The sequence below is a fragment of the Homo sapiens genome, chromosome 2, assembly GCF_000001405.40.
Source record: "Homo sapiens chromosome 2, GRCh38.p14 Primary Assembly".
Lineage (NCBI taxonomy): Eukaryota > Metazoa > Chordata > Mammalia > Primates > Hominidae > Homo > Homo sapiens.
The window spans coordinates 229,717,353-229,730,918 of record NC_000002.12 but is presented as its reverse complement, the minus strand read 5'-3'; the positions used below and the strand labels follow the sequence as shown (position 1 = coordinate 229,730,918).

At 40.6% G+C, this 13,566-nt stretch overlaps 1 annotated feature.

Annotated features, from left to right (window-relative positions):
* Positions 3,763 to 4,264: an enhancer, noted in NCBI's record as "H3K27ac hESC enhancer chr2:230591371-230591872 (GRCh37/hg19 assembly coordinates)". NCBI's record gives its function as "activates a minimal SCP1, AML or CMV promoter by ChIP-STARR-seq in naive H9 embryonic stem cells {active_cell/tissue: H9 hESC(naive)}" and the evidence as "EXISTENCE:reporter gene assay evidence [ECO:0000049][PMID:30033119]".

The window sequence follows — 13,566 nt, the reverse complement described above, 5'->3', positions numbered from 1 at the left end:
CATCTCAAAAAAAAAAAAAAAGTAGTTGATGCTTTGATTCAAGAATAGTAGATTAGGGGCATCCCCTGGGCAAATCCCCATTGTTCTATAATGATTGTCTATTGAGCTATGAGGAGGAGGATTGGGAGGCCATGTCAAAGCCAGGGAGAGCCTGGCAGATTATTGATGCCTGCTGTGGGTTAGCAAGGAGTTACCTACTGTGGTATACACGACATATTACCAAGCCTGGTGTAGAGGCAAGATGCCTGCCCTGCAGTTCATAAGAATTAGCTTTTATTAGGCCCCTGCCACTGATTTATGGACTGGGTTACTGAGTTCAATGAAATGTGAATTAAATGAGAAGATGTATGAGAGAGCATTTAGCAGAGTACAGGATTAGAAAGCAGTTCTGTTTCTTCAGGCTGTGAACTCCCTGAGAATTTACAAACCTGTTGTATTCATCTTTGAATTTCAGCCCAGTGCCTGGCCCACAATAGGCCCTCTATAAATATTTGTTGAAGTAATGTATGCTGCCTATAAAGACCAGGTGAAGGAATGAATCCAGTGGTAGGATCTGAAGACTCACCTGAACAAACAGGAAGAATTTGGAGGTCATTGGAGCTTTTCTATAGGCTCTTGGAAGTTACCCTTGATGGGTTTTCTTCCAATTTTTAAAAATTTTAAACATTATTCTTAAAGTAAAGCAAACATGCAGAGAAGTACAGAAATCATAAGGGTACACAGCTCCATGAATTCTCACATACCCATAGAACCACAATCTATGTAAAACCAGAACAGCACCAGCACCCTAGAATGCTGGCATTGCCTCCTCCCATTATGAGCTCTTCTCTCCTCTCAAGGACACCCTCATCCTGATTTCTGATATTATGCATTAATTTTTTCCAGTATTTTGTGAGGTTCAACTATGTTGTTCCATGGCAATGTAACTTGTTCATTTTTTTAAAAATTATTGATTTGCTTCAATGGATAATTCTTTTTATACTTTAAGTTCTAGGTACATGTGCACAACGTGCAGGTTTGTTACATATGTATACATGTGCCATGTTGGTGTGCTGCACCCATTAACTCGTCATTTACATTAGGTATATCTCCTAATGCCATCCCCCCCCTCCCCCCACCCTACAACAGGCCCCGGTGTGTGATGATCCCCATCCTGTGTGCAAGTGTTCTCATTGTTCAATTCCCACCTATGAGTGAGAACATGCGGTGTTTGGTTTTCTGTCCTTGCAATAGTTAGTTCAGAATGAGGGTTTCCAGCTTCATCCATGTCCCTACAAAGGACATGAACTCATCCTTTTTTATGGCTGCAAAATATTCCATGGTGTATATGTGCCACATTTTCTTAATCCAGTCTATTATTGATGGACATTTGGGTTGGTTCCAAGTCTTTGCTATTGTGAATAGTGCCGCAAAAAACATATGTGTGTCTTTATAGCAGCATGATTTATAATCCTTTGGATATATACCCAGTAATGGGATGGCTGGGTCAAATGGTATTTCTAGTTCTAGATCCTTGAGGAATCATCACACTGTCTTCCACAATGGTTGAACTAGTTTACAGTGCCACCAACAGTGTTCCTATTTCTCCACATCCTCTCCAGCACCTGTTGTTTCCTGATTTTTTAATGATCGCCATTCTAACTGGTGTGAGATGGTATCTCATTGAGGTTTTGATTTGCATTTCTCTGATGGCCAGTGATGGTGAGCATGTTTTCATGTGTCTGTGGGCTGCATAAATGTCTTCTTTTGAGAAGTGTCTGTTCATATCCTTTGCCCACTTTTTGATGGGGTTGTTTGATTTTTTCTTGTAAATTTGTTTAAGTTCTTTGTAGATTCTGGATATTAGCCCTTTGTCAGATGGGTAGATTGTAAAAATTTTCTCCCATTCTGTAGGTTGCCTGTTCACTCTGATGGTAGTTTCTTTTACTGTGCAGAAGCTCTTTAGTTTAATTAGATCCCATTTGTCAATTTTGGCTTTTGTTGCCATTGCTTTTGGTGTTTTAGTCATGAAGTCCTTGCCCATGCCTATGTCCTGAATGGTATTGCCTAGGTTTTCTTCTAGGGTTTTTACTGATGCATCATCTTCCTGTGTAGGAATTTATTATAATTTGTTCATCTATTCCCCTGTTGATGAACATTTAAGTTTTTGCCAGTCTTTGGCTGTTACAAATAAAGTAGCTATAAACATTTTGATGCTTTTGACCCATATTTCTGTGGGATGTAAATGAAACCTTGGAGAGAAATTGTGAAGTTATAGGGTATGTTTAGGTTCAACCTTAGTAGATACCACCAAGAAGTTGCCCAATGTGGATGTGCCAATTGACACTCCCTCCAGCCATGTATGTGAGTCACAACTGCTCTGTAATGCCTGTCATTGTCAGTCCTTTTAGTTCTAGCCACTCTAGTGGATATGTAACAATATTTATTCTGATTTTAATGTGCATTTCCCTGATGACTAATGTGGATGAGCAGCATCTTTTCATATATTTAATGTCCATTTGGATATCCACTTTTTTTTTTTTAATTGAGACAGAGTCTTGCTCTGTTGCCCAGGCTGGAGTGCAGTAGCATGATCTCGGGCTCACTGCAACCTCCACCTCCTGGGTTCAAACGATTCTGCTGCCTCAGCCTCCTAAGTATCTGGGACTGCAGGTGTATGGCACCATGCCTGGCTAATTTTTGTATTTTTAGTATAGACAGAGTCAGAGTTTCACCATGTTGGCCAGGCTGGTCTCGAACTCCTGACCTCAAGTGATCCACCTGTCTTGGCCTCCCAAAGTGCTGGGATTACAGGTGTGAGCCACCGTGCCCAGCCTCTTTATTTATTTTGAGATAAGTTCTCACTCTGTCACCCAGATTGGAATGCAGTGGTGCAATCATAACTCACTGCAGCCTTAAACTCCTGGGCTCCGGGGATCCTCCCAGCTCAGCCTCTCGAGTAGCCAGGACTATGGGCATGTGACATTACAGATGGCTAATTAAAAAAAATTTTTTTGTAGGCATGGGGTCTCACTATGTTGTCCAGGCTGGTCTCAAACTCCTGGCCTCAAGCAATCCTCTTACCTCAGCCTCCCAAAATGTTGAGATTACAACTGTGAGCCACCACACCTGGCTCCTCCTCTTAGTTTCTAAGACAAAGGCTTACAGTTGGAATTATTACTTTTAATGAATATATGTTATTGATTGTACTTGTTAGAAGTTAACACATTCTGATTTGGTAACTAGAATTTGGGACTCCTATGGAAAACTTGTGGATATACATATCCACAAGTAAATATATATATATTTGATCAGAAAGATTAGTATTTAGAAGTGTACTTTTCATGTGTTATCCTTTCTCAAGGACAACTCGTACTTTTGGAATGGCCATCAAGCACTTCATATTGTGTGTTTTAGAAATATAGGTAAAACATTCTCCTGCCCAGCAAAGGCCCAAGTTTTGCACCAGTGCTGCCATTTGCCTTTTCTATCTATCACTTTGCTAGAGAGAAGTAAAATCCCATGCAGATTTTATTTATTTATTTTTTGAAATGGGGTCTCACTCTGTTGCCCAGGCTGGAGTGCAATAGTGCAATCATGGCTCAATGCAACCTCCGCCTCCCAGGCTCAAGCAATCCTCCCACCTCAGCCTCTTGAGTAGCTGGAATTACAGGTGCACCACGACACCCGGCAAATTTTTTGTGTTTTTGGTAGAAACGGGTTTTTGTCATGTTGCTCAGGCTTGTCTTGAACTCCTGAGTTCAAGCTGTCCTCCCACCTCAGCCTCACAAGTAGCTGGAATTACAGGCACGTGCCACCATGCCTGGCTAATTTTTGGGTTTTTGGTAGGGCTTGTTGCCCAGGCTTGTCTCAAACTCCTGAGCTCAAGCGATCTGCCCACCTCGGCCTCCCAAAGTGCTGGGATTAGAGGTGTGAGCCACCGTGCCTGGCCTGTGCAGATTTCATAACATTCAGTAGTGTGATAGAGCTCTGTAAGGGACAGCCCACCCAGAGGCCTTTGCCATTCTCATCTGGAATGCCTGGTTGGCACCCATTCCCTGTGCCTGGACTCTGCCTCTGGTCCTATGCCTTTGACCTGACCCTTTGGCTGGATTGTTTGTCCCTGGATGCTCTCTGCTGGTTCACTTTTAGTTGCTGGCTCTGTAGCTTGTGGGCTGATGATGTCCCCAACCCTGACCCCTATGCTCTGCCCAGTTCTCACAGTTCCAAAGCAATTAGTTCCACCTATGGTCCTTTGGGATTTATTCCCAGAATGTAAGCCTGATTCAGTATAAAAAATCTATCATTTTTTTCTGGAATCAAAAACTATTCTGTGGTGCATAGATTACGTGGTGAGCATGCTTAGCTATTTGATTCTAAAATTCATCATAGTTGATAACTAGGACAATGCTACAAAATCCTGATAGTTTAATAATACAGTGTAATGAAAAGAGGTGAAATCAAGGGCATTCCTTTGAGCATTTGCAGTAGAAGAGAGGACAAGTTCACCTTGGGCTAATTTGTGCATTCAGAAAAGTGACTGAGCACGCACTTTGCTCCTCTGATGAGGTGTCACACCTATATAGATGTTGTCTGGCTTGTGTCTATTAATTCTCATCTCAGCAGCAAATGGAATATGTGCAATGGACTAGTTTTTAATCGGTCTGTGACATTTGCATCTAAATAAATTGGCGTAATCTTGAAATAAATGACTGCAGTCAGTGTGGCTCACAGTTATATGAACGTCCTTTACTATTCACAGCCCATTCTTTGAGCATTGCTCAGATTACACATTACCCCCTGACGCACAAAAGGTCACGTGATGCTGTGATCATGTTTGCTGGTGACGTGGGTCCCACACTTCAGTTAATCACCAGGTTGAAGGTTGACTGCCATGGCAGCCCCAGAAAGCTGGAGCCCTCAGTGCTCACAAGGAAAAACTTCTGCCTGTTACCAACTCCTTTAGCTTTTCCCTGTAGTCATTTAATTAGATTTCATAAAATAAAGCTGCTTTCTCTTGTGCATTGTCAGCAAGAATAGAGTGTGCATAGACTGTCTTCTGAGTTCCTGATTTTATTTGGAAATCCATTAAGCTTAAAATTTCTAGATTTAAAAAAAATGAGTATCCTCTTATTTCATTAGTGTCTTTGAAAAGATTTATAACAAATATGTGAAGAGACATGCTGTCCTTTAAATAGGAGCACAAGGTTTGCTGAGCAAGGACATGAGCCCAAACAGTGGCACTATTTTTGAAAATGTGTGGTAGGAATGTACTATGTGTACCAAGTAAAATAAAATGACTCTGCTTATTATTTATTTATTTGAGACAGTCTCGCTCTGTCACCCAGGCTGGAGTGCAGTGGCATGATCTCAGCTCACTGCAACCTCTGCCTCCTGGGTTCAAGTAATTCTCATGCTTCAGCCTCCCGAGAAGTGGGACCACAGGCATGCACAACAACAGCCAGCTAATTTTTGTATTTTTAAATAGAGATGGGGCTTCACCATATTAGCCAGGCTGGTCTCAAACTCCTGACCTCAAGTGATCCACCTGCCTCGGCCTCCTAAAGTGCTGAGATTACAGGCGTGAGCCACCATGCCTGGCCAGCTTTGTTGATTTAAAATAGTAATTTGGATGGCTTTACTGTTAAAATAATTAGAAATAGCTACAAAAGGACTGCATATAGACTATTTAGTTAGAAACATAGTTAATATTTAGCATCACTTTTGTCTCTAGTGAGTCCTTCCTCTCCCTTCTTTCTCTCAGCCCCATAGGTTGTCACTCACCCTTGCCTGTACAGGAGACTCCACCACCCGCCTACTGAAGTAACCACTTCTCTACCTCCACCACAAACACCACCTCCCCTCTCTCACTGTTCCTTCCCCACTCCTCACCATCTCAGGAACTGGCAACCCTATTTACCTGGTTGTTTGGGATCCAAACCCAGGTGTCGTCTTGGACTCCTTTCTCTCAATCATACTCCATGGCCAGTGCGTCTGAATGACCTGTTTCCTCCATCTCCCCAACACCTCCCAAATTTGATCCCTTCAGCATTTCCGCTACCCATCCTTGCTTCCCTCCTTCACCCACACTGAGCCACAACGATCTTTAAAAAAATCTCATTTCAGTCACATCATTCTCTAGCTTCTCTATTGCAAGAAAACAAAACAAAACACCACATAAGCCCAGTCCACAACTCTGCAAGATTGGAGCCTATTTCCTTTCTAGCTCTGTTCTTGCTCCTGCTCTGGCAGTTGAGTTGGTTTTATTTCAGTTTCATGAACTAACTCCTACAAATCTAGCAATGCAATAGAAAAACCAGCAGTTGCTAGAGACTGAGTTTGTTGCTCCATGAAGCTTTAGCAGTGTCTTGGAGTGGGAAAGGCAAAGTTGGATTCTACTGGGAATCTGAAGTTTGGTTTAAGGCAGGTCTGTCAATGCAGGGGCTTGATGAAGATCGCATAAGAATCAGGAAATAATAGGATTTGGACTGGTGGAAACAGCAAGGCGAATATTTTGAGATAAATGTTTTAGGGCTTAAAGTGTTGGTGGTTTTATTAAAGTGTCGATGGATCTTTCCAGAAGTTTCAGTCATGAATAATCAAGATATTTGCCTGGGGAAGAGTGTGCTGGAGTAGTAAAGCGATGCCAAGGAGGACAGGGATAGTATAAAATCATGTTCCAACAGAGGAGGCTTTGTGTGTGTGTGTGATTATGTGGGGAGTCATTCCCATCTCAGGTACAAGCTGTGTGGGAAGGTAAATGGTTTCAATTCTTAGAACAATCAGTCCACAAAAAGGAAGTGCAAATGTCTCTGAAGTATATGAAAATACATTCATTTTGGCTCATGATAAGAAACATATTTGAGGCTGGCACAGTGGCTTATACCTGTAATCCTAGCACTTTGAGAGTCCGAGGCAGCCAGATTGCTTGAGCTCAGGAGTTCAAGACCAGCCTAGGCAACATGGCAAAACCCCGTCTCTACCAAAAATACAAAAAATTAGCTGGGTGTAGTGGTGCACATCTGTGGGATGTGTGGTCCCAGCTACTTAGTAGGCTGAGGTGGGAGGATCTCCTGAGCTTGGGAAGTCAAGGGTACTGTGAGCAAAGATCATGCCACTGCACTCCAGCCTGGGTGACAGAGCCCTTCTCTATCAAAAATACAAAAAATTAGCAGGGTATGGGGGCATGCACCTGTGGGACATGTGGTCCCAGTTACTTTGTAGGCTGAGGTGGGAGGATCTCCTGAGCTTGGGAAGTCGAGTGTACAGTGTGCCAAGATCATGCACTCCAGCCTGGGTGACAGAGTGAGACCCTGTCTCAAAAGAACAAAAACAAAAACAAAAAACAAAAAGAAATATGTTTGAAAACTACACTGAGATACTTTAGGCTTTGTATCCCCACCCAAATCTCATCTTGAATTGTAATCCTCATAGTCCCCATAATCTGCACATGTCAAGGGAGAGACCAGGTGGAAGTATGTGAGCCATGGGAGTGGTTCCCCCATGCTGTTCTCATGTTAGTGAGTGAGTTCTTACATAATCTAATTGTTTTATAAGGGGCTCTTCCTCTTTTGCTTGGCACTTCTTCCTGGCGCCTTGTGAAGAATGTGTCTTGCTTCCCCTTCGCCTTCTGCCATGATTGTAAGTTTCCCGAGGCCTCCCCAGCCATGCTGAACTGTGAGTCAATTAAACCTCTTTCCTTTATAAATTACCCAGTCTTGGGGAGTTATTTACAGCAGTATGAAAACAGACTAATACGACAGTTTTTCACCTATCAGATTTTCCAGTATGAAAAACTTTGATGAAACCTTATAATGGAGAGAACAGGGACTCCCACACATTAACTGGCAGGAATGTGAATTGGTAGAATGTCTAAGGAGGGCAATCTGGCACTATCTCTTGAAATTATAAATGCACATACCTGCTGTGCAGAATACAAATGATCACTTCTAGGCATTTATCTAATAAGTTGGCCAATATCTAAAGAAACTAGTGTCCTCTGGGATGCACTATGAGAGGTGATGCTGAAACGGATAGAAAGTTTTGAAGTTTGTCAATGATCTTTCTTATTGCCTTATGGAAGATATCTCTGTAGTAGGAAAATTAGCCCTTTGATTTTGAGAAAGTATGCACATGATTTTTCCTAGTGCTTTCATATAGCATATGGTGATTTTTGTCATGTGAAATTCTTTAATTTTATGTTGACACGTGTTTTGATCTTTCCTTTTTTAATGCCTTCTGGATATGTGTCACACTCCAATATTACAAAAATATTCTGCCTTGGTTTCTTCTTGCATTTTTAAGGCTTCGTTCTTTTGGGTTACCTTGACATATTTGATCCACTTGGAGTTTATTGAGGTATAAGTTGTGAGGTATGGATTCAATACTATTATTTTTCCATGTGATGACTCACTTATCTCAATACAACTCATTGAACAAACCTTCCAGCTCTTAGCATATTTTTCTCTGGACTCCTAGTCTGTTCCATAAATTTGTCTATTTAATGTGTCACACTATTTTAATTATTGTAGTTTTATATTATGTTTTAATATTGGTTAGTTCCACCCCATTTCCTTCTTGTTCAGGAGTTTCTTGGCTTTCTTAGGTTGCTTATTTTTCACATGAACTTTAGAATCAGCTTGCCCAATTCCATACTCTCCCTCACCAAATTCCACTGGTGATTGTATTTATTATGTTAAATGTACATATTAACTTAGAGGCATTTATATTTTATGATGTCACATCTTCCCATTCAAGTATATGATATGTCTTTACATTTGTCCAAGTTTATTTTGTGTCATTTGATTATATTTAAAAATTTTCTTCAATAGGTATTTCACATTCTTGTTATAATTATTACAAAATTTTTTGTTTCTGATGTAAGTGAGATTCCCCACCCCCCATCAACTAACTGCTATTATTTGCATATATGTGGGTTTTTGATTCTGTGTATTTATTTTGATATCTTATGGAATTTTCTTATTGTTTGTAGTATATTTTAAGTTGTATTCTCTAAGTATGATATTATATTGTTTGCATATAATAATTTTACTTCCTCTCCAATTAAATATTTATAAATTTGCTTTTGAATACTGGTTAGGTTTAATACCTCAAAAACAATATTAAATGATAATGATGATGGTATCATCTTATTATCAACTTTAATGGGATTCCTTTTTATATTTTTTCATTAAGCATGATGCTGACTTTTGGGTTGAGACAGAAGTGTTGCACTGTAAGGTAGCAGTTATCTTTTTTCATTTTATTATTTATCAAGAATGTATATTGAATTTTATTAAATGCATCTTCAACATTTATGAAGAAGGCCATAGTATTTTTCTTTTTAAATCTGTTAATATAGGTAAATAGGTTTTCTGATAATCATGCTTTTGTTCTGGAAATAAATCTTACTTGGTCATTATATATCAAGTTTTAAATAATTTGCTGGATTATTTTGCTAATTTTTTTTTTTTGAGATGGAGTCTTACTCTGTCTCCCAGGCTGGAGTGCAGTGGCATGATCTTGGCTCACTGAAACCTCCGCCTCCTGGGTTCAAGTGCTTCTCCTACCTCAGCCTCCCAAGTAGCTGAGATTACAGGTGCATGCCATGATACCCAGCTAATTTTTGATTTTTGGTAGAGACGGGGTTTTGGCATGTTGGCCAGGCTGGTCTCAAACTCCCGACCTCAGGTGATCTGCCTGCCTCGCTCTCCCAAAGTGCTGGGATTACAGGCATGAGCCACTGTGCGTCTGGCCTATTTTGCTTTTTTTTTTTTTTTTTTTTTTTTGAGATGGAGTCTTGCTCTGTCACCAAGGCTGGAATTTGATGGCGTGATCTTGGCTCACTGACACGGCTGCCTCCCCAGTGCAAGCGATACTCCTGGCTCAGCCTCCAGAGTAGCTGGGATTACAGTTGTGTGCCACCATGCCCGGCTAATTTTTTTTTGTATTTTTAGTAGAGATGGGGTTTTACCATTTTGGCCAGGCTGGTCTGGAACTCCTGACCTCAGGTGATCCACCCGCCTCAGCCTCCCAAAGTGCTGGGATTACAGGCAGGAGCCACTGCACCTGGCTGCATCAATTGTTTTTGTATGTGTCATATAGCTCTGTTGAGCTTTTGGTGTCAATGGTGTGTGACTGGGGTCACATGTCCATCTCTGAACCAATCTGTCACCAGAGGAATGCCCAGGTCTAGGTCATGTGGCTACTCCTGGACCTGGCAGTGGGGTCAGTTTCATGTGCAGCACATGGGCTGAGAGTTGGTTTCCCCATGGCAAAATGGGGCCCCAGCTATCCAAGAAGGAGAGATACTCACTAGATGGAGAAAACCACAGATGTCCCACCATAGGCAATTTGGTGATAATGTAGCTTGGATATTTCAGGCTTCATTTGTAGTAGAGACAGGAAGCTTCTTGGCTGATAACTGAGTGAGTCATCAGCACTGTTATCAACCCTCGACTGACAACTTCCAGACTTCTTTTATGTGGGAGAATAAACCCAAAATTTGTTTAAGCCATTAACACAAACACCTTCTATATGGAAATAAAAGCATAAAATATTGTGTCTGGAAAACCCAGAGACTGGATACTACTCTATTTTCAGATCCCAGAATAAATTCAGGTGCAAAGAAGAGGACTTAAATTGCATCTCTTTATTTGCGGGTCAGTTATGTGGATTTATTATATGATAAATCACCTCCAGCTTACTTGGGATTTAGCACCCATCTTCTTTCTGAAAGAATCTAAGTTTTCTGTAGCCATTGGCAAAATGGTCTCTCTATTTCCCTCTGGACCTTCAGTTGCCTATAGACAGTGACGTCATTCCTGCTACCCCTTTCTACATTTGGTTAACTTTTAAGGATACAAGAAAACACCCCTCCTCCCTGCAGAGGGTGGGACTGGATGCTGGATTAAAGCTGGCATCACCTTGAAAGAAAAAGTTGGCCATGTATAGAGAGAAGAGACACTGGATCCTATGTTCCAGTATAGGGAATTAAAAACAGTTATTGAGTTTAAAATAATTTTCATGTTATCAGGAATCAATGTGAAAATACCTGATTTCCACTTGGAAGTAGCTCAAGTGCTTTATGAAATATTTATATAGGGAAGATATGCTTCCTTGCTGTCTTTTTATTCAAGACCTCATTTAAACCTACTCTAGATCAAATCAATATTACAGTGATAATGTAAAATAAATTAAAACTGTTTTAAACAGCTGCTGGAACAATGGTTTAATTCAAATCAGAGCAAGTCTAGAGGGAAGAAAGTAAATGTGAACCTGTCTCAAACAGAATTTAAGAATTGTTCATTGATTATAGAATAAAATAATCTGAATATATATGCTAACACTTAAATGACTAATTTTAATAAAGATACTACTAATTAAAGGAATAAGATAATTACCTAGTGCTTGTGGCTATAATGTATGCAAATCATTTATTCTTCATGACGATTCTTCAAAGACACTTAAAACTCCCATGTACTTAGTATTTATATTTTTTACACTGCCTTTTTGGGTTGATTGATTGTTTTGTAGGAAATACTGGAAGTGGAGGAAAGGTACTATGGGAAGGTGGATAAAGCATAAACTGGTGATTTGGAGGCTTGGAGCCTCATTCTGGTTCTGCAGCTACTCAGCCTCGACAGCTATTAGCTTCCTCAGTGCATCCTCTTCCTCCTCAGAAAAGATCTTTGGAGAGTCCCTTCCGATTTTCACATCTTACACCGTCACAAATCAGGAGTAGTAGTTACCTTGCAGAGAGGCAAGTGAGCAAACTAACTAAAACTCTCAAGTGCCTCCCCACAATAAACCAAAACCCAGCAAGCACCGTGCATCATACCATATATTATTGATACATACAGACATATGATACATATGTCACATATGTGATGCACATCACACATACATACATGATGTACATCACACACAATACATACATCATCCATATTTATATGATATATACATCACACATATGTACATATATTCTATATGTATATCTATATTTGTCCCTATAGCTCATGTGCAATATCCACTAAGTATCAGACTTTACATTGAAGGATACATAGTATCTACTTAGTGTCAGACTCTGCACTGTAGGAGATTGATATATCAGATACAGAGTAGAGATTCAAACAAAGCGTGGCTCCTAAGCCAGACTCCTCCTTATGTTTGAGTCTTGGCCATGCCTCTTGCAAACTGAGTGACTTTAGACATTTTACTTCAGCTCATTTCACCTCAATTTTGTCCTTTAATTGGGCACCAGTCATACTTCCTACCTCATCATGCTGGCATTAGGATTAAATGAGATAATATGTAAAGAATACTCATATTAGTGTCTGGTACACTGTAAATACTCTACATCACCACTATCATCACCTAGAGCTCTATAAAATTGGGGTTTCTGTCTCCTCTCCATGTTATATGACATCTGAAGGTCAAAAAGAATAACTTGCCCAGTGTTGTCATGGGTCCTGATAGAACTGTTCTGGCCAAAGTAGGCTGGTGCTGTTCTTCATGGTAGAAAGCTGTCACTAGGCAATGTGTCCCTTCTCTCTATACGTGGCCAACTTTTTCTTTCAAGCTGACTCCAGCTTCAATCCAGCATCCAGTCCCACCCTCTGCAGGGAGGAGGGATGTTTTCTTGTATCCTTAAAGGTTAACTGGATGTGGGAAGGGGTAGCAGGAATGACGTCACTGTCTACAGGCAAATGAAGGTGCAGAGGGAAATAGAGAGACCATCTGCTGATGGCTGCAGAAAACTTAGATTCCTTTGGAAAGAAGGTGGGTGCTAAATCCCAGGTAAGTTGGAGGGGATTTATCATCTTATGATAAATAATTTAGTTTGGGTCTTAGTTCAAATCCTGGGAGATCAAGCTTGGTAACCTTTGCAATTTCTTCTAAATATAAGTTTCTAAGTCTGTGAATGATGACACGGTGCACCCAGGCTAGCATTCTCACAGGATGCCGTGGTGGACAGAGTATGAAAACCTCATCAGGAGTGGTGTTCTCATTGAGGCCAGTGGTTCCCAATTGGCTACCTGTGAACCTGCTGGCCTGGAAAGTTGATTTTCTCCATTTGTGACAAAATGCAAAAAATAAAGACAATTATATTTGCATTAGTTTGTAACATTTTTATAATAACCTATGGGTATAATGCAATTGAGGTGTAACTCTAAACTAGATCTGTGAAGAGAAATGAGTCCTGTAAATTGTTTTGAAATTCTTCCTTTCCACCAAATCCAGAAGCCTTAGAATTTCTAATGGGATCCAGCCTTCTACCTGGCAGAAATAGTACATGTGAGATCACTAGTCGTGCTGCCTGGCTCATTGGGAACAATCAGTCCTGCTCTGCCATTTACTAGTGTGTGGCCTCGAGTTATCTTACATCGTTGAGACTCAGTGGTTTAAAACTATAGTGGTTTATTTCTTATGTCATATGCCCATTGCAGGTTCCCATTGCTTCACATTGTCCTCTCTCAGAGACACAAGCTGGAGGAGCCCCCATTGCACCTCTTGGAATCTTGCCAGTTGTCACGCTAAGGAGAGGAGAACACAGTGGGACATGGGCAGGATTTTAAAAGTTTCCAT